This window comes from Homo sapiens, chromosome 7 (assembly GCF_000001405.40).
Source record: "Homo sapiens chromosome 7, GRCh38.p14 Primary Assembly".
In the NCBI taxonomy this organism is placed as follows: Eukaryota; Metazoa; Chordata; class Mammalia; order Primates; family Hominidae; genus Homo; species Homo sapiens.
Genome location: NC_000007.14, coordinates 136,960,100 through 136,983,319, shown reverse-complemented (window position 1 = coordinate 136,983,319; position 23,220 = coordinate 136,960,100). Strand labels below are relative to the sequence as shown.

The following is a 23,220-nucleotide window of genomic DNA, read 5'->3' as shown; positions in this document are numbered from 1 at the left end:
CAGTTTAAAGAAGAACATAAATGATCTGATGGAGATGAAAAACACAGCACGAGAACTTTGTGAAGCATACACAAGTATGAATAGCTGAATTGATCAAGTGGAAGAAAGAATAACAGAGATTGAAGATCAACTTAATAAAAAAAAGCATGAAGACAAGATTAGAGTAAAAAGAATGAAAAGGAATGAATAAAGCCTCCAAGAAATATGAGACTATGTGAAAAGACCAAACCTACGTTTGATTGGTGTACCTAAAAGTGATGGGGAGAACGGAACCAAGTTGGAAAACACTCTTCAGGATATTATCCAAGAGAATTTCCCCAAACTGGTAAGACAGGCCAACATTCAAATTCAGAAAATACAGAGAATACCACAAAGATACTCCTCAAGAAGAGCAATCCCAAGACACATAATCGTCAGATTCACCAAGGTTGAAATGAAGGAAAAAATGTTAAGGGCAGCAGAGAGAAAGGTCACATTACTCACAAAAGGAAGCCCATCAGACTAACAACAGATCTCTCTGCAGAAACCCTACAAGCCAGAAGAGAGTGGGGGCCAATATTCAATATCCTTAAAGAAAAGAATTTTCAACCCAGAATTTCATATCCAGCCAAAATAAGCTTCATAAGTGAAGGAGAAATAAAATCCTTTACATACAAGCAAATGCAAAGGGATTTTGTCACCCCCAGGCCTGCCTTACAAGAGCTCCTGAAGGAAGCATTAAATATGGAAAGGAAAAACCGGTACCAGCCACTGCAAAAACAAACCAAAATGTAAAGACCATTGACTATGAAGAAACAGCACCAACTAATGGGCAAAATAATCAGCTAGCATCATAATGACAGGATCGAATTTACACATAACAATATTAACCTTAAATGTAAATGGGATAAATGCCCCAATTATAATGCACAGACTGGCAAATTGGATAAAGAGTCAACATCCGTTGATGTGCTGTATTCAGGAGACCCATCTCATGGGCAAAGACACACGTAGGCTCAAAATAAAAGGATGGAGGAAGATTTACCAAGCAAATGAAAAGCAAAATAAGTAGGGGTTGCAATCCTAGTCTCTGATAAAACAGACTTTAACGCAACAAAGATCAAAAAAGACGAAGAAGTATATTACATAATGATAAAGGGATCAATGCAAGAAGAAGAGCTAACTATCCTAAATATATATACACCCAATACAGGAGCACCAGGATTCAAAAAGTAAGTTCTTAGAGACATACAAAGAGACTTAGACTCCTAAACAATAGTAGTGGGAGACTTTAACACCCCACTGTCAATATTAGATCAATGAGACAGAAAATTAACAAGGATATTGAAGACTTGAACTCAGCTCTGGACCAAGTCGACCTAATAGACATCTACAGAACTCTCCACCCCAAATCAACAGAATATACTTTCTTCTCCGCACCACATCACACCTATTCTGAAATTGACCACATAACTGGAAGTAAAACACTCCTCAGCAAATGCAAAAGAATGGAAATCTTAACAAACACTCTCTCAGACCACAGTGCAATCAAATTAGAACTCAGGATTAAGAAACTCACTCAAAACCACACGACTACATGGAAACTGAACAACCTACTCCTGAAAAACTACTGGGTAAATAGCGAAATTAAGGTAGAAATAAATAAGTTCTTTGAAACCAATGAGAACAAAGACACAACATACCAGATCTCTGGGACACACCAAAGCAGTGTTTAGAGGGAAATTTATAGCACTAAATGCCCACAGGAGAAAGCAGGAAAGATCTAAAATTGATACCCTAACATCACAATTAAAACAAGTAGAGAAACAAGAGCAAGCAAATTCAAAAGCTAGCAGAAGACAAGAAATAACTAAGATCAGAGCAGATTTCCTTCAGTGAAGGAGATAGAGACATGAAAAGCCCTTCAAAAATTCATTGAATCCAGGAGCTGGTTTTTGAAAAGATTAACAAAATAGATAAACTGCTAGCCAGACTAATAAACAAGAAAAGAAAGAAGAGTCAAATAGACACAATGAAAAATGATAAATGTGATATTACCACTGATCCCACTGCAATACAAACTACCATCAGAGAATCCTATAAACACCTCTGTGCAAATAAATTAAAAAATCTAGAAGAAATGGATAAATTCCTGGACAGATACAACCTCCCAAGACTAAACCAGGAAGAAGTTGAATCCCTGAATAGACCAGTAACAAGTTCTGAAATTGAGGCAGTAATTAATACCCTACCAACCAAAGAAAGCCTAGGAACAGACGGATTCACAGCTGAATTCTACCAGAGTTGCAAACAGCAGCTGATACCATTCCTCCTGAAACTATTCCAAACTATATTAAAAGAGGGAGTCCTCCGTAACTCATTTTATGAGGCCAGCATCATCCTGATACCAAAAGCTGGCAGAGACACACAAAAGAAAGAAAATTTCAAGCCAACATCCCTGATGAACATCGATGCGAAAATCCTCAGTAAAATACTGGCAAATTGAATCCAGCAGCACGTTAAAAAGCTTATCCACTATGATCAAGTCAGCTTCATCCCTGGGATGCAAGGCTGGTTCAACACACACAAATCAATAAACGTAATCCATCTCATAAACAGAACCAATGACAAAACCACATTATTATCTCAATAGATGCAGAAAAGGCATTCCATAAAATTCAACACCCCTTCTTGCTAAAAATACTCATAAACTAGGTATTGATGGAACGCATCTCAAAATAATAAGAGCTATTTATGACAAAACCACAGCTAATATCATACTGAATGGGAAAATGCTGGAAGCATTTCCTTTGAAAACTGGCAGAAGACAAGGATGCCCTCTCTCACCACTCCTATTTAACAAAGTATTGGAAGTTCTGACCAGGGCAATCAGGCAAGAGAAATAAATAAAGGATATTCAAATAGGAAGAGAGGAAGTCAAATTATATTTGTTTGCAGATGACATGATTGGATATTTAGAAAACCCCATTGTCTCACCCCAAATCTCCTTAAGCTCATAAGCAACTTCAGCAAAGTCTCAGGATACAAAATCAATGTGCAAAAATCACAAGATTCCTATACACAAATAATAGACAAACAGAGAGCCAAATCATGAGTGAACTCCCATTCACAACTGCTACAAAGAGAATAAAATACCTAGGAATTCAACTTACAAAGGATGTGAAGAACCTCTTTAAGGAGAACTACAAACCACTGCTCAAGGAGGTAAGAGAGGACACAAACAAATGGAAAAACATTTCATGCTCATGGATAGGAAGAATCAATATCATGAAAATGGCCATACTGACCAAAGAAATTTATAGATTCAATGCTATTCCCATCAAGCTACCATTGACTTTCTTCACAGAATTAGAAAAAACTACTTTAAATTTTATATGGAACCAAAAAAGAGCCCATATAGCCAAGACAATCCTAAACAGAAAGAACTAATCTGGAGGCATCATGCTACTTGACTTCAAACTATACTACAAGGCCACAGTAGCCAAACAGCATGGTACTGGTACCAAAACAGATATATAGACCAATGGAACAGAACAGAGGCCTCAGAAATAACACCACACATCTGCAGTCGTCTGATCTTTGACAAACCTGACAAAAACAAGCAATGGGGAAAGGATTCCCTATTTAATAAATGGTGTTGGGAAAACTGGCTAGCCATATGCAGAAAACTTAAACTGGACCCCTTCTTTACACCTTACACAAAAATTAACTCAAGATGGATTAAAGATTTAAATGTAAGACATAAAACCATAAAAACTCTAGAAGAAAACCTAGGCAATACCATTACGGATATAGGCCTGGGGAAAGGCTTCATGACTGAAATACCAAAAGCAATGGCAACAAAAGCCAAAATTGACAAATGGGATCTAATTAAACTAAAGAGCTTCTACACAGCAAAAGAAACTATCATCAGAGTGAACAGGCAACCTACAGAATAGGAGAAAAATTTTGCAATCTATCCATCTGACAAAGCACTAATATCCAGAATCTCTAAGGAACTTAAACAAATTTACAAGAAATAAACAATTCCATCAGAAAGTGGGCAAAGGATATCAACAGACACTTTTCAAAAGAAGACACTTATGCAGCCAACAAACATGAAAAACAGCTCATCATCACATGTCATTAGAGAAATGCAAATCAAAACCACAATGAGATACCCTGTCATGCCAGCTAGAATGGTGATCATTAAAAAGTCGGGAAACAACAGATGCTGGAGAGGATGTGGAGAAATAGGAATGCTTTTATGCTGTTTGTGGGAGTATAAATTAGTTCAACCATTGTGGAGGGCAGTGTGGCAATTCCTCAAGCATCTAGAACTGGAAATACCATTTGACCCAGCAGTCCCATTATTGGGTATATACCCAAAAGATTATAAATCATTCTACTATACAGACACATGCACACGTATGTTTATTGTAGCACTATTCACAATAGTAAAGACTTGAAACCAACCCAAATGCCCATCAATGCTACACTGGATAAATAAAATGTGGCACATATACACCACGGAATACTATGCAGCCATAAAAAATAATAAGTTCATGTCTTTTGCAGGGATATTGATGAAGCTGGTAACCATCATTCTCAGCAAACTAACACAGAAACAGAAAACCAAACACTGCATGTTCTCACTCATAAGTGGGAGTTGAACAATGAGAACACATGGACACAGGGAGGGGACCATCCATACCGGGGCCTGTCGGGGGGTGTGGGTCAAGGGAAGGGATAGCATTAGGAGAAATACTTCATGTAGAACATGGGTTGATGGGTGCAGCAAACCACCATGGCACATGTATACCTATGTAACAAACCTGCACGTTCTGCCCATGTATCCCAAAACTTAAAGTACAATAAAAAAAAGATGCGCTAATAAATCTCCTGTTTAAAATTCAGCCTTTTCAGTGTTTCTCAAAATTATTTGAGCAGAGAACATTTCCTCTCAAAGCATATGTATTAACATCTTGTAGAAAAAATACACTATAGAACACAGTTTGTGTATGCCATGCTAAATGAATCAAGTAATTGATTAGGCACGTGAATGGAAATAAAGTTTCTTAAACATTCCAATAATTCTTTTTAAAAATAATTGTAAGTTTGATTTTAGATTCAGTGGTTACAAAGGGAGATTTATTGCGTGGGTATGTTGTATGGCTCTATGGTTTGGGATACAGATGATCCCGTCACCCAAGTAGTGACCCTATAGTACCCAATGGGTAGTTTTCCAGCCCGTGTTCCCCCTCCTCCACCCCCTCTCTAGTAGTTCCCAGTGTCTATTTCTTATATTAAGTTTCAACAAAAATAAGTAATGGGTAAAGGGCTCTCTATGCAGTAAATGGTACGGGAATACCATAACTGATTAGCCATATGCAGAAGAATGAAACCGGACCCCTACCTTTCACAGTATATGAAAATTAACTTGAGATGGATTAAAGATTTAAATGTAAGACCTCAAGCTATACAAATTCTGGAAGAAAACCTAGGAAATACCATTCTGGACATTGGCCTTGGTAAAGAATTTATGGGTAGGTCCCCAAAAGCAATTGCAACAAGAAAAATGATTGACAAGTGGAACAAATTAAACCAATGATTCTTTTACCTCCTTGCATTTGTGCATGCCATTTATTCTCCCTGAAATGATAGCCTACCGTTAGCAAACCACCCTTGGCCTTGCCTCATCCTTATGTTGGATAAGACCATTCAAGTCGTAGCTTAAAAGTAATTTCTGTGAGAAACCTTTTCTGATACCTCAAGACTGCGTTGAGTGTCCCTCCTCTGATCTTTTCTAAAACTGTGTACTAGCTTTCTATCAGCACTTGCAACTTATTCATTTCTTTTTACTTGAAGAAATTACAATTTCCATTGTAAACCCACTGTCTATCGTAAGACCTTGTAAATGGATGAGTGGGAAAAGAAAAAAGAAAAAAAAAAGATTCAGGGAAGCATATCCTAAGGTAAGTTCTGCTGATCAGCAAAGGACATAAAATCCTAAGAAGAGAAGTTAGGGGAAATCAGAGAAACCCACAGCTTCCTGTACCATTAGAAATCTGTCCCACAGAGAATAGATATCATGAAACCATTAAAATGACAGAATCAGTTGTAGGGGACATTAAAATCTTAATCATGTGGGTAAGGAAGCTCTTGGGATAATTTATCCACAAGTTGCTTACTAATCTGCTTTAGAGGGAAGCCATGTGGAGAGCTTCTCTTGGATTCCAAAGCAAACAGATGTTCTATCTTTCACAGTGGTGCCAAGTCACTTATATTTTCTTTCTTCTAAAAGCCAATAGTAGTACACACAGTACAATAGGAATGTTATGTGTTTTCATGGAAAAGCAACTACAATGTTTACATAGTCAATAGACTGCAACATTTCCAGAAACAAAACTCAGTGAGTAGAATTAAGAAAATGACTGTCCCTCAGGGAAAGCAAATATCACCAGTGAATTAGTTAGAGCACCGGGGACATTGTTCCATGGACCAAGTTGACTAAGGACTAGTGGTGAGATTAATCCCTGCAGCAGGGAGTAAGAGTTTCTCTCTTCAAATGTTTAAATTTGACCCAAATAGACATCTTGCTCTGAGTAAAATAAAACCAAAGGGTCACCTGCAGACCTTTCCTGTTGTTGCTAATGTCTAGTCCCTCAAAAGCTCAGACCTGATGCACGAGAATAGGCTCCTATGTGGTTTCTCAGCAGGTTTTCCCTTTATTTTGTCCTACAAATAACAAACTCAATGCAGAACTTAAGAACCTAGGCTGTGCCCAGTTCAGAAGCCTGCTCTTTCATGTTCTATTTCTGTTACTTGCACAAGTATCTTAGCCACTTTATTTCTTGGTTTGCAAATCTGGAAAATTGTTATAATAATAATAATATTACATACATCATAGAGTATTGTCAGGACTGAATTAGTTATTAAGTATCTAGCACAATAGGTACCAACTTTCAGCTAATATTAATTTCATTAGTATTAATAATGTTAATATTTTATCACCACAAATCAGTAATGCCACTAACTCCATCTCCTACTCAAAATTTCCTAAGATCATTTCATGTCTAAATTTCTGATTTGGAAGTCTTCTATGTCATGCAATACTTCATAGGCCACAATTCTTTAATATTTAGTTTAAAATCCAGCCTGCAGTTCCCCTAAATATACTCCATGCTTAGCCCGTAGCCCAACCTTGAGGCTTTGTATACATGGCTCATTTTTTATAATATACCATTTCTTCTTTCTAACTAGCCAATTTCTATCCATTCTTCAAGATCTAGTTATAATTTAACTTCTTTGGAAGTATCCCTCTCCTGTCTCTGTAATCATAATACCTTATCTGAACATAGCACTGTGTCACCCACTGACATGGATGTATATTTCACATAGACATATCTGAATACATTCTCCTTGAAAATATGAACGAGAACACCATCATCCTTGAGAGTATTGGAATTATCCTGGTGTAGCCACAGTATGGGTGGAGAAGGTGATAATTTGCCCTACTCTATTTTCTTGTTTGGTTTACATCAGTTGGCTGTTTTATAATGGGCACAATCTTATTGGCTTTGTTCCAAATACTGCACCAACTTGCAAAAGTGAAGGCAATAGGAAGAGATAAAATAAATGGAAATCTTATAGCACTCTTTAATAAAGTGGCAAATATCTGTCCTTTGATATTATAAACCTTGTTTGAAAGCAGTAAAACATGATGTTTGAATATTTAAGAATGGCAATATGATGATTTTATCATTGGGTTTTGTTATGTTTTATTGGGGAAATTGCAGATTAGTATTTCCAACCTAAAAAGTAAAATCTTATTCTATGAATTCTTCCCCATTTTCTGTGAAAATAATTACCAATTAATTCATTTTCTTTCTTCTTTTTCCCTTCCCCTGTCCTTCTCTACTGGGGCCTGTGATAGAAAATTTATGTATTTCTCCAATTAGAAATATAACTTTATTTGGGAAAGGCTATGGACCATGTTTAAATCCATTTACTCCACTTTTTTAGAGTTCATAAGGGGAGGAAAATGTCTTCCCTGTGTGTCAGTTGACTCCAGAACACAAACAGGAAACAAGAAAGTGAATTCTAAGACACTTGGGAAAATTGCTGTTTCTTATAGGCTGATGTATACCTTTTCTCTGATACCCCAGCTTACATCCTGACACTTTCTGCAAAGAGTCATCTTCAATTATTGTCCACTCCTATGAGCTTTAAATTGCTTATTATTGAAATTGCAGTACTTAGCAACTAATTATATACTGTCTTGCACTGTTCCATGCCATGTGGTAAGCCAGTAGCCTGGAAACCCTTGTTAACTCTTCCTATAATTTTTAAACCTTTTTATCCCATAACATACTATTTCTTTTATATTCTATATATTAGTTGCCACCATTGCATTACTACCATCACTATATTAGTTATCAGTTCTCATCAGTTCTCACCTTCAAAGGCCACCCAACAGGTCTCCCTGGCTTTAGTCACATTCGCTCACATTTATCTTGTACTCTGACCTCTCAGTGATGTTTGTAACTTACGGATTTAAATATATAATTCTTCTCTTGAAAATTATTTAACAGAGAATAAAATCCCAATGTAGAATGGCCTACAAGAACTTTCATGCAATGACATCTTCCCAGCTGCCAAGCCTAGTCTCAAATCAGTACTGTATTCTCCCACACTACATTATTCCTTAAATAATATAATACAGCCCCACTGAACTAGCTGCAGCTATTGTAATGAGGTATATGCATTCGAGCCTCTGTGTTTTTGTGTATTCTGTTTCTTCTACTTGGAAAGCCTCACTACTTAAATTTTCCCTCCAAGTCTTTGCTAAAATGCCCTCTTCCCAAGTAAAGCGTCCCCTGACCACCCTGAAACTTAGATGCTATTTCCTCCAATTTTCATACATTTTATGTATTTCCATTGTAACAGATTTCTTCTGTGCAATTGAGTTTGCAGTTCTATGTTGTCAGTTGGCACTTGGGATAAGCACTGTGTCTCCTCTGCTTAGCACAGCATCCAGCACATAGAAGGCATTCAGTAAATATTTATAGGATAAATGAATATCAGATGTTCTCACTTAAACTGTACCAACCTGGAAACAATGATCATGATATCCCTCTCTGTGCCCAAATCAGTAATGAGTGCTTGGTAGAAGCATCGTAAGTACTTTCTGATAAAATTAATTAATTCAGGTGACATAAATCATAAGACACTCTAATTTTATTTATTTTATTTATGATTGCTTCTCACATACAAGAAATACACAAAAAATATGAGACCGCAGCCAAGGCAAAAAGTGTAAGTGACAATATTACAAAATGTTCTATTCTCAAGAAAGGCAATTTCACTATTATCCATTCTTAAGAATCAAATAGTATAATTCTGTCTGTAAATTACTTGCTGTTATTTTAGACTGTTAAATAATCATTACATTTTTCTTTATTATTCTGCAGTGGGATAAAATCATCCCAAGAACCATTTGGCTCTTTAAAAGAAAATGCATTCTGACCAACAAATAGACACCCCTACCATCCCCACCACCATCAACTCCATTACCATCTTCACCACCATCACCATCATTACCGACAACAATTCCTACCATCATCCCTGCCATCATCATCATTACCTACAACCATCCCTAACACCATCACCATCATCACCTACCACCATCCCTAACACCGTCACCGTCATCACCTACCACCATCCCTAACACCATCACCGTCATCACCTACCACCATCCCTAACACCGTCACCGTCATCACCTACCACCATCCCTAACACCGTCACCGTCATCACCTACCACCATCCCTAACACCGTCACCGTCATCACCTACCACCATCCCTAACACCGTCACCGTCATCACCTGCCACCATCCCTAACACCGTCACCGTCATCACCTGCCACCATCCCTAACACCGTCACCGTCATCACCTGCCACCATCCCTAACACCGTCACCGTCATCACCTGCCACCATCCCTAACACCGTCACCATCACCTGCCACCATCCCTAACACCGTCACCATCATCACCTGCCACCATCCCTAACACCGTCACCATCATCACCTGCCACCATCCCTAACACCGTCACCATCATCACCTGCCACCATCCCTAACACCGTCGCCACCATCCCTAACACCGTCACCATCATCACCTGCCACCATCCCTAACACCGTCACCATCATCACCTGCCACCATCCCTAACACCGTCACCATCATCACCTGCCACCATCCCTAACACCGTCACCATCGTCACCTGCCACCATCCCTAACACCGTCACCATCGTCACCTGCCACCATCCCTAACACCGTCACCATCGTCACCTGCCACCATCCCTAACACCGTCACCATCGTCACCTGCCACCATCCCTAACACCGTCACCATCGTCACCTGCCACCATCCCTAACACCGTCACCATCGTCACCTGCCACCATCCCTAACACCGTCACCATCGTCACCTGCCACCATCCCTAACACCGTCACCATCGTCACCTGCCACCATCCCTAACACCGTCACCATCGTCACCTGCCACCATCCCTAACACCGTCACCATCGTCACCTGCCACCATCCCTAACACCGTCACCATCATTACCTGCCAGCATCCCTAACACCATCACCATCATTACTTACCACTGCCATGACCACCACTACCACCTTCATCAACAATGCAGACATTGGTCACAAGCATATTCCAAAATCCAACCTAATTCATTCAAACCTGAGTTCTCATTTGACAGAACTATCAACCATATTTTTTTTTTCTTTCATAAGAAATTAAATCTGAGAAAACGCTAGAGGGAATGGAATCACTGGCCTGGAAAGTAGAGTTCTTGGCAAGCAGCAGACTATATTGTGTCACTGACAGAAGGAGAGAATAAATAATGGAAGTATGACAGGCTATTGATTCTGGAAACAAGATATATAAAGTAATATATGCTGCTATCCTCTAGGTTGGACAAAACAAGACAGAGATTCAAGGAAGGACAGATGAAACAGCCTTAAAATGAACAGAGATACCAGAAATTTCCCTCAAGGTAGAAGGGTCAAAGAGACTTTTAAGAAATAAATAAGGATTTTACTCTCATATAAAGAAAATAAATCCTTTAGTTTTTGTCTGTTGGTAGATTTATGTTATTCTGAAAGATGGCCTTTACTGAACTTTAGGAGAAAATCCACGAAAAAAAAAAAGGCATACTGACATTGCCCAAAACAGCTGCTTTTCTATTCCTCCAAGGCTCAGTATACGTAATGTCCAAATATCAGATCAATCAGTAACAAGACAGTCAGACAGTGAAACCATTTTGCCCTTTATGGAATCAAGTAAACAAAGCAGTAGTTTTCAAATAGTTATTTCAGTTCAACCACAGAGAGCTCAGAGAATTTACTGCTGCCTACTCCCTTTAGAGATTAGCACCAAAAATACAGATGAGAGTAGTGAAGGTGAAAGAATAAGTATCAAAAGATTCTGTAACCTGGAAGGAACACAAGATGCTTTTAAATTTGTCTTTTAGTTCTCATGCAGATTTTTACCAAACTCTTGAAAGAAAGATCAGAATCACCATGTGCTTTTATTATTTTTTAAGTAAATCTATCATCTTTTCCTTAATATATTTTTCTCCCTGCCTGTTTTTATAACTATATTTTTCTGTTACATTTTCACTAAACTCCTCCAGCAAGTCTTTTTTTTTTTTTTTTTTTGTGAAACAGAGTCTTACTCTGTCACCCAGGCTGGAGTGCAGTGGCGTGATCTCAGCTCACTGAAACCTCCGCCTCCTGGGTTCAAGCCATTCTCCCACCTCAGTCTCCCAAGTAGCTTCGATTACAGGCACCCGCCACCACACCTGGCTAATTTTTTGTATTTTTATTAGAGACAGGGTTTCACCGTGTTGGTCAGGCTGGTCTCAAACTCCTGACCTCAGGTGATCCCCCTGCCTCAGCCTCCCAAAGTGCTGGGATTGCAGGCCAGCAAGTCTTTAAACTTACTGAACTAGTGTGGTCTAAATTGTAGGATGGAGTTAAAAGACTGCAGAAATGGGGTACAGTGAAGCTGAGTTCTAGTCCAGGCTGACTGCTTTCTGTGTTACTTGAGGACAACTATTTTAGCTTCTATATGCTTTCATTCCATCATCTAGAAAATGAACAAATTGATCTAGATGATCTCTGAGATCTGAATTCTGGTTCTAATTCTAATGTTTCCAAGTTTCTGTGCTGCCAGATTTCAGCAATTGGCTTGAGAATATTTCATTCAATGTTCAAACTATTTATTCAGTGTTTATTATTGCCAGATAATGGACTAAGAGGATGGAGAAGAGGAGTAATTAATTTATTTTGTTCAATTGTGTCAAGTATTTTCTTCAGATGTTTTGAAATTTGGAAAAGTTAAAAAGGACATTGATTCACCCCATCTCATGGTTTCTCAATGGAACTGAAGGAAAAATGGTGATCTTAGATTTGGGACCCAAGCAAAATCTCTGAGTCACTAGTGAGCCAGGTGAGTGAGACAGAGTTTAACTGTGCAAAGTTACAAAAAGAGAGGTGAAAAGAGAAATGGCCTTTTTTCTCTAAGGTATTGACATGTAAGTTTTAGGAAGAGTAAATAATTTTGAAAAACTTTTTTTTCAGAAGTATTATATTTAACCTGCTAGCACAAAGTAATTGCTCATTAAATGTTGTTGCATGAATGAACTGAAGGTGATTCAAGCAAGCAATTATCTTTTATAGACCTACGTGCTCAGTATAAAGAAGTCCAAGACATGGTCCCTACATTCAGAAAAATTACAATGTGGTTGTAAAAGAATTAACACAGCCACCACCACTTCATGCACTCCTGTGAAAACTCAAGTAAAATATGGGATTACAACAGTTTCAAAGAATAATAGAAGAAATGTAATAAGCTAAAGATGGGTAGTATTTGAATAAATTGGACGGGTATATCTTGGAAGGAAGTCATGAAGGCAAAAAGACTATCATAAATAAAGTGTGAATAAACAGATTTTGTTGAAGAAGAAGGATTAGGTAAGGGAGATAAAAGATAAAGAGATAGAGACAAAAAGAGATAAAGAGATAAGGACCAAGATATAAAGCTAGAAATACAGGTGGAACTAGACCATCATACAGGCACATTTTCTTATGGACTGAATGTTTACATCCACCTCCCAAATTTTTATGTTGAAGCCCTAACACCTAAGAGATGATATCTGAGATGGGGCATTTGGAATGTAATTAGGGTTAGATGAGATCATGAGAGGGAAGCTTCATGATGGGATTAGTGCCCTTATAAGGAGAGACACTAAAGAACTCTTCCATGCAAGTATACAGTGAGAAGCCAGCCTTCTACAAGCCAGGACGAGCCCTCACCAGGAACTGAATTGGCCTAAACCATGATCTTGGACTTCCCAGCTACCGGACTGTGAGAAAGTAAATATATGTTATTGAAACCACCCAGTCTATAGTATTTTGTTATGGCAGTCCCAGCTGACTAATCTGCACTTCATCCCATAGCCAGTGGGAAATATTGGTTTTGAAACAATAATGTTAAAATGATAAGCAATAATGAAAGCAGCATTTTTGGCAGACTAATATGCCGAGAAGGTATATGTTAACCTATGAAAAATGAGGAGGCCTAAAACAGAAGGACGTTGGAAAGGTGGCAGAACCCAGTTAGAAGGCCCTTAGAATAAGGGAGTGTGATAATGAAACACTTGTTGGAACCAAGCATTGATCAGAAGACAAGAATGTGTGCAAGGCCCAGCCAAAACAACACAGAACTTGGAAGGAGATTTGGAGGTGAAGTTTGGGAATTATGTGGAAAATCCTGGGATGCTTTCAGGATCTAGAGGTAAGCAAGATACAGGTGAAATTTGAATAAGCAGTCAAGAATTTGGAGACATAAAAATCAGAGATCAAGGCAAAGTAGTGGGTCAAATCAGGAAGATAACCGGGAATCAGGTGAATCCAAATTTTAAAAAGAGCAAACTTTAATCTAATGCCAGATAGAATATATGGAACCCAAAGAAACAGAAAACTTGGGGTTGGAAATTTATTGGTACCATTATCATTCTAACTTTGTGTAAGTCTAATTATTAACAAGTTATTTTTTTTCCAATATGAATTTCACCATGTTGTCTTTTTAAAAACATTAATCCTAGGTGTGTGTCCTGCAGCTATTTAAGATATGTTTAACTTCTACATAATGCCCCTCAAGTAATTGAAGATGACTATCCTTGCTTCTTTCCAAGCAAAATTTCTCTACTTCCTTAAAGGATTCTTCATGTGATTTAGTTTCTATATTATTATGCATAGAACTGAATACAGTATTCACACAGGCTCTGATGAGTGAAACTATTACTGCTCTTTCCCTGAGCATACTCTTTCTTTTAATGCTCATATGATCACATCACAGATTAGGTGTTAACTGATTTATGTTCATGGATATTGGGACAAGATAGTGCAGTGTTTGTGTTTTTGTGCCTGGCTTATTTCACTCCGCATAATGTCCTCCAGTTTCATCCATATTGCAGCACATGACAAAATGTATTTGTTTTTTAAGGCTAGATAGTGATTTATTGTCTGTATATATATATATATATATATATTTATGATAATACAATATATATAATAAAATATATACATATGGTATATACAATATATATCACATTTTATTTATCCATTCATCTGCCAATAGACCTTTGGGTTGTTACCATGTCTTGGCTGTTGTGAATAATACTAAAATGAACATTGGAGTGCAGATATCTCTTCAACATACTGATATTAGTTCCTTTGGATATACACCCAGAAGTGGGGTTGCTGGATCATATGGTAATTGCATTTTTAGTTTTTTGAGGAACCTCCGTACTGTTTTCTTGAGTGACTGTACTTATTTACACTCCCACCAACAGCATACAAGGGTTCCCTTTGTTCTACACCCTCAGCAGTAGTTGTTATCTTTTTTATTTTATAACAGGCATTCTAGCAAGTATCAGATGATATCTTATTGGGGTTTTAATTTGCATTTCCCTGCTGATTAAGAATGTCGAGCATTTTTTCATATACTTATCAGTCATTTGAGAGGCTGTGGCAGTGGGATGGGGAACAGAGAGATGGTCAAGGGTACAAATTTCCAGTTAGGAGGAATAGTTTTGTAGATCTGTTGCAGAAAAAATAAGTATGTGAGGTGGTGAATACGCTAAGCATTTCACCATATATACGTATATCAGAACAACACATTGTATATGACATAAATACATACAATCATTGTTTTTCAATTAAAATTTAAGTGTTAAAAGATAAAGCAGTGAACACAATGTCCACTTTCTTATTCTCAAATTCCCATCATTTGACCTAATTGTGTGGTTTTGTGTATGAAGTGTGAATGAGTAAAAAAAAAAATCAACACCAGAACTAGAAACCTAACAGTACTTCCAGAATTTTACAGAAATTCTAAAAAGACAGAAATATATGGAATCATATTAGAAGATAAAGAATGTCACAGATTACTCAGACCCTAATTGTAGTTTCAGTGGAGCTGACAACTCATACCATGGACACAGGAATGAAAAGGTGCAAAGTCACAGAAAGGTAGAGGGCTAGAGCAAAAAGTCTAATAGTAATTACAGAAAGAGAGAACAGAAATAATATAAGGAAGGAAATAATAAAAGAAAAAAATGAAAACATTTCTAGATCCAAATAAAATTACAGTCCTCAAGTTGGAAGGGCCTAATGTGTGTTAAGAAGAGTGTATTTGCAATCAACTTAACAAAATACTCAACTTTTCTTTATGAGAATTATTAAGTCAGATCTACTTTCCTCTACTTGGTTAGTCAATATTTTGGACTTCTTTAAGGTTAAATTTTGTTTTAATTTGTTTATTTTTCCATAATGTTAAGATCTTTTTGAATTTTGACTCAAATACAGTAACATTCATTTTCTCTCCCCTATGTAGATTATTCACACATTTGAAAATCACGCCCACTTTATCATCAATGTATTGATAAAATGCTAATTGATAAGCCCTTGCAGCACTCTAATTGGATAGGGCAGCTTTTGAAGTTCCTCTGAGAAGTAACTAATTAATCTTCTCTGGATAAAATTGCTCAATCAGGTTTGAGCTGCCCTTTATCCTCCCTGCCTTCCACAGTGCTATCCATGCAGGAATCCTGAAACACATTATCAGATGGCTAGTTGCAATCAAAATGTACAAGATCCATGACATTCTTCTATTATATTAGTTTGGAGAGCTTGATGAGGTTTGCATTGAATTTTTTTCTTGTGAATCATTATTGTTCCTAGATCATCACATCCTATTTTTCAATATGTCCCTAAACGATCAGTGTAAACAGTTTGCTTGGAATTATACCAAGCTCACCAGTATTTAAGTTTTAAAGCATTCTTTTCCTGCCTTGTAAATATAGTGTCAACATTTTCACCTTTCCTGTATTATGACACCATTTTTATCCTAAAGAATTTCTCAAGAATTTTTGACACTGATTCCATAGACACATCAATACATTATTTTAATATCTAGATTTAATTTCAACTAAAAAGAAAGTTAAAATAATGGTCCCCATGTCCTGGGATATATATAGTACTATGTAAAAAAAAAAAGGCAAGTTATACTTATAGACTCACTGTGTATTACGGTTTGTATTAAAAACACAGATATTTTTAAGTAAATTTCAGAATTTGTATAGAATATTGTACAAAATGATTTACAATGGTTGCCTTTCTGAAGAGAAACGGAGAGGACAAGAGGCTAGGAGACAAGGGCAGGCAAAATACTGTGTGACTTTATGTACCTTTTCTATTTAGTATCATGTTCACCTACTCCTTATTCAAAGGAATCTTAAAAATTGAAAAAGAAAACCTTAGTGACCCTCAGGATTTGGATTTTATGAATCAATAAAACTTAAAAATAGGAACTAACATAACATCATTGACTTTTAAGTTCACCATATAAAGATATTACAATTAATTTACATCTGCCATCACGACAATTTTATTAAAAATGAAGCAAATAAGACAAAGAATATGTGAAACCTATACAAACAAATGAATAAAACAATATCAGAATAAAACGCATTCTTTTAAATTGAAAATGGTTTTGTAAAGTAAACTCACTAATTAAAAAAAAAAATTTGCAGAAGACAAACATTTAGGAGCCAGTGATTGAAATCACCAAGACTCTTCTATGCTAACTTCCCCTTTTTGGGCATCAATTATTACTCTGCCTTTTCTAGTTTACAGTATTCTTCATAGAAAAATGTAGAAGAAAAACAATATTATCAGAGTTCTGTCTCCCTCTGGTACTTGGTTAATATTATAGCATATTCTAAAGGGAAGAGCTCTAGGTTTTCCTTGTGCTCTTTCTTCAAATAAAGGCTTAAGGTTATTTCTGCCACACTCTTGGCTTTCTTTTTTTTTGTCAACACATCATGGCTCATTTAGGTGTATTCCCTTCCAAATACTATTCTAATTATTCCAACATTCCATTCTTTTGTATTATTTTTGTCTGTGTTCTTCCCATCTTGATTTTTATGTGTATCTCTTTAATACATGAATGCATCATAATAATGGCTTTTGCAGCCAACCACTGGGAGGCTGATTTTAGAGGACTGCACTGTGATATCAACTCAGATGAAGCTGTTTTCAAATTAATTTTTGTGTCTGTAGGAGCTTCTTTTTCTTCTTCGTCAAGATTGTTTTTAATTACAGTGTCATTTATTTCTAGACCATTCCATTTATTTTGAGTTATTTTCTCTTTTAGAGTATCTGGACCTGAAATTTTATGTGTGCCTTTTCTGTTTCAAAATTCCTTTGGCAAAATGTAATAATTAATATGCAAAATAAAACAGGCTGCTCATTCTCTCTGACAATTTCTTTTGGCTTTAATTTCACCAATTAATTTGCTCTTGTCCATGAGAAATAAATCCATAATAGCAATTCCATTCATTACTTCCTCAACTACTGAAGTATGGAAGTCACAGTAAAGCAAGACATTTCTTTCAGATTTTAGATTGTCTCTATTTAGGAAAAAAAAATGGACTCCTAACCAATATGCAGATGTTTTAATCCCCTCACCATTAATATATGTTGTTTCTGCATCAGCTTGTATACCTGAATTAAGAGAGCATTTTGACAAGAAGGCTGTAAAAGTTACCATAAACACCATAATCTCTATTATTTTATCATAATTTTAAAGCTCACCACAATATACATGTCTGCATTAATTCATAGATATCTAGACTTTTATATAATTCTTGACATAGAAATTTCACTATTTATACCTGTTTTATTTAAATGAAGTATAATGTCCATGCCTTTATGTCAGTGATGAGTTCTCAACAAAATTTCCAATATTTGTAAGACTTTATAATACCTAGAAGGTCCTTTGTTCAAATTATACTAAAAAGGTTCAGAAAGGAAGGGAAGGAAGCTTAATAACTTTTAAGGCAACCAGAGAGTTGTTAGTTTTGGACACTTTAAATAAACTGCTAGCAATTATTTTATTAGATGTAGTTGTTGGACTGGTCACAAAGAATAGGTAAGAAAACTGAACAGATGTCACAGAGAGAAGAGAGAGTGGGTACTTTGCTTCCTCTGTTACAGACTTTCATGGACTGAATACTCTGATGAACAGACTACATAGGCAGACTACATAGGCAGGGAAATTCTGTCTTAAACTTTGCAGCTTCAGTTTTCCTGTGTGCAAAGGAAAAAGGAGGAAGGAATCCAATATTTCCTTTGGGAGACTAGACAAAGAAAGAAGAAAGAATTTGGCAATGCTGACTGGTCTCGTAATATTTTCTGATATTTTGCAGGCAGGCAATTGAGAAATGTTTTTCTCCCAGCCCTTATACTGCCAAGGCCAACTGAGGACCAAAGACAAAAGTTCCAGGCAGCACTCAAAAGGCTTCCAGAGGTCATAGAAGTTTAAAATTTCAGCTGTATTTTTTATTGACTACAAAATCTGCAGGAGGGTAAAAGTTATCTGCATGAGAACAAGCTGAAATAGTGATCCCCTAAATAGCAATAATATATGGATGTGTTGTATATAAAAGTTATTAATTTTCATTTAAAAACATATATATATATATTTAACCATTTCTTAGGGCAAATAACTAATAATAATTTTTTTTGAAAATTATATTCTAATGAAAATTTTCTACTGTCAGAATTTACTTTTCTTTCACTAGATACACCTGGGAAAGAATTATTTGGCTGAAACCTTTTTGGTGAATTTGTATGGACCGGCAGCAAATAGACAAACTTTCAAAACAGGAATGTTCTGCAAATAAATACAGTTGATTTCATCAGTGACTAAATACCACAAGAACCCAGCCGAACAGTGCAGTACGCAAATGAGAAGTATAAAGAGAGGACATCAGTGCCACCAAAAGACAAGGGTGTCTCTGTTATAACATCTGTAACCAACCTGGAAACCTTTGAGAAACCTTTGCTACAGCAGTATTCAGTGGATCTCAACACTGGAAGCACATTAGAATTGTCTAGAGAAATTTTTTTTTTTAATTAATGCAATTGCCCAGGTTTCACATAAGTGATTTTGATTTAAATGCTCCACAGTGGGACCTGGGCGTCATTTTTTTAAAAGTGATTCTAATGTGAACCCAGGACTGAGACCCCTGGTTGGCTAACCCATATCTCTAGAGGGGAGCAGATGAACTGAAATGTACTGGACTAAATTGTGGGGACGTGCGCCTTGAATAGAGAATAATTAATTTCCAACATTAATTTCAGCATATTCTTCCTTCAGTTTTCATCCTTGAAAACAAACCATCTGAAACCCTAGAGCCCTTAAGTCTTGTCAGTAAATTACGTTCTTCCTGAAATCCTATGAACATCTTTTCTGGCAAAGCATCCTTGACCCATTGCAGTGCAATCAGTGCTTTACTGCTTTGATTTTCTTGAATTGTAAGTTCCTCAAGAGCAGAGATCATGTCTTCTTTAACTCTGTTTCTCCACTGCTCAGCACCATGTCTCGTGCTTACGAGATAAACGCTTTTAAAACAAATGTATTAATTAACGGAAAACAGAAAAGGAATGGACAAGCATTCAGGCACCCTGGTCTTATCTTTTATTTCTTTTTCTTTTCTAGTGTCTGCTTCCTGCTGTCTTACCTTCTGTTTCCTTTTTGTTTTGTTTCTCTTGAACTCTGGGACAATGTTTTGTTTCAAAAGTAATTTTCTCTCTCTTTTTTTCTTCTCTCAGTTCTCCTCTCACTCTTCCATGTAACATCACACATCCAGTTCATTAAATTTGATTTGTATTCTTTTTTCGTAAAAACTAATGTAAGTACTTAACCCTAACTGTATCAAACCTTTATTGCAATTTCAATTATTAATTTTCCTACAAGTGGGTAAGTTCTTTGAAAGCAAGACTGTATCCACCATAATTCCTACTACAGTGTAGAACATATTTTAAGCTGTTAATAAATACTTGTTGACTTTCAGGGCCTTAATTATTTTTCTGTGAGTGAACTCTGAGTCACAATGAGGCGGTTTTTCAGTAGTACAGAGGGTACTTTGCATATTAGACCTTTTCTGGCTCTTTTAACAAGGACGCTGTTGCTTATTCCTAATACAATGTCGTTCTCTGGCAGGTGAAACTTATCTTGCAAGTTTGTACTGGGTTTTTGTTTTTTAAACTGATGCCAAGTAAATGAAACTTACTCCTTCAAAAAATTACATTTCCCCACTAACTTTCAATTAAGTGGACAGTTTCATATTTCAATATGGAAAGCTTAACAAATGCCCTCAGAGAACAGGGCATGACTACCTGTTCTTACTTAGAGTCTACTTAATTCTCCCCTGCCACCACTACCACTCACCCTCTACTATCCTTTCTGGCCTCAGAAGCCACCAGTTGTGGCCGGGCGCAGTGGCTTACACCTGTAATCCCAGCACATTGGGAGGCTGAGACAGGCTGATCACTTGAGGCCAGGAGTTCGAGACTAGCCTGGCCAACACGGCGAAACCCTGTCTCTACTAAAAATACAAAAAATTAGCCCAGCATGGTGGCGCATGCCTGTAAATCCCAGCTACTTGGGAGGCTGAGGCATGAGAATCACTTGAACCTCAGAGACAGAGGTTGCAGTGAGCCAAGATTGCACCACTGCACTCGTTTAGACAAAAGAGCAAGACTCTGTCTAAAAAAAAAAAACAGAATTACCAGTTACCTATTCAGTTGACAGTCATTACTGCAGAGTTATGAAAATGTGGTCATATACCCCACAGTATAGTCTGTCTGAGGCCCTCCAGTCGTTCCTTTTCCCTTTACAGATTCTAGAAAAGGTTGCTGAGAAGCTATTTTTATGTTTGTGCCCTCAAAACACTGAACTCCTTCTGGAACCTGCACTGATTGTCATGTGAACCAAGCAATCCAAGCCATCCTGTCTTCCCTAGGATCCACGCCCCTGTCCTCCCCACGTCTCCTTCTCCTCTACTTTCTTCTCCACATATCCATGACCAGCTCTTCTCCTCTGAGTTCTTGTTTTCTTCCTTCTCTTTCCTTTCCTTCTCCCTTTCTCTCACCTTCCTTTTTTGGACCCCTTTTCCTACCTCTTTTCTCTAATAAAGTTTATCTAGATACATCTTCCAGTTTAAAAAATGTTTGAGAATTTACCTACCAGTAAACCTATATAACTCATATATAAATAAATATCTACACCAACAATTGTCCTAATTTTTAGATTGAAATGTACCCCAAAGTCTACAGTTTAAAGAATGAAAAAAAATTAGAAATTTTGTATTTATTAATTGAACAGAAACTTTTTGCTTTCACTAAAAATAATTAAACATATTTTTAGTGGGAGAAAATTGGTTGAGTATGCCTCATTTAAAAAGTATCTCAGTATAACATTTTACAATATAGTACAGAGGCTCCTCAACTTATGATTATGTTACTTCCTGATAAACCTATTGTAAGTCAAAAATGCATTTAGTCAACATACCAAACATCATAGCTTAGCCTAGCCTACCTTAAACTTGCCCAGAACACTTACATTATTAGCTTCCAGTGGCAAAATCACCTAAAACAGAAATATTTGATAAGAAAGTGCTGAATACCTCATGTAGTTTACTGAATACTGTACTGATAGTAGAAAACAGAATGGTTTTATGGGTCCTTGAAGTATGGTTTCTACTGAATGCATATGGTTTTTTTAATTAATTTTTTTTTTTAATGAAGTCTAGCTCTGTCGTCCAGGCCGGAGTGCAGTGGCGCCATCTTGGCTCGCTGCAATCTCCACCTTCTGGGTTCATGCAGTTCTCCTGCCTCAGCCTCCAAGTAGCTGGTTACAGGCACCTGCCACCACGCCTGGCTAATTTTTTTGTATTTTTAGTAGAGACGGGGTTTCACCCTGTTGGCCAGGCTGGTTTCAAACTCCTGACCTCAAGTGGTCTGCCCACCTCAGTCTCCCAAAGTGCTAGGATTACAGGTGTGAGCTACTGTGCCCTGCCAAATGCATATGGCTTTCATATCCATCACAAAATAATAATAAAAATCACTAAGTTGAACCATTGCAAGTGAAAGAGTTTATGTCTGTACTTATGAGATTGGTTTATTGAGTCTCAACACAATGAGCTATAGAATAGAAAAAAAAGTGTGAATATTTTATTAACCATTGCCTTCAAGCATGTTTTGTCAAATCTCATGTTAGCAGTTACTCTACAACTTATAGTTAAGTTGTTCACTTTAGCAGTTACTCTACAACTTATAGTTAAGCAGTTACTCTACAACTTATAGTTAACTTAGTCTACTCCAGTTTACCTCTGGTTTCTGAGTTGGGAGGTATCGTGATCTATTTGACTCCTTCCTTGTCTGTTGACTGGAGAACCTGGGAATGAGTGAATAGGATGTTCTGGCTTAGCCACGTTTGTTTCTCTCCTTCCCCAGTGTCTAGCTCCTCTGGTGTTAGAAATGGGGAGAAGAAAGAGAGAAGCCAAACATCCCCTTGCAGTTTTTCACATCTATACTATGTGAAGGTAGTACTAGGTCCAAGCCCATTCCATTGGCTGCTAGCAGCCTCTGTTAATATGGAGGTCTTTGTATAGATGATGTGGATGGTTTTCTAGGGCAGCATGCAGCTTCATTCCAGAATTTCCTATCTCCTAAGACCCAGGTACAGAGAAATACATTTGCCTGCCATTGACCACTGGTAAAGAGTTAATTCTTTTAGCCCCCTCTTAGGTTGGGGCGCAGCT

At 37.1% G+C, this 23,220-nt stretch overlaps 1 protein-coding gene and 1 long non-coding RNA gene across 11 annotated transcripts in view; one reads left to right on the top strand and one right to left on the bottom strand.

The window, feature by feature from the left end:
- The window catches only part of CHRM2 (cholinergic receptor muscarinic 2), a 151,562-nt gene that overhangs the window by 36,894 nt on the left and 91,448 nt on the right, over nucleotides 1-23,220 (bottom strand). The gene's annotated exons all lie outside the window — the stretch shown is intronic.
- Nucleotides 1-23,220, top strand: part of LOC349160 (uncharacterized) — a 265,569-nt gene that overhangs the window by 181,022 nt on the left and 61,327 nt on the right. The gene's annotated exons all lie outside the window — the stretch shown is intronic.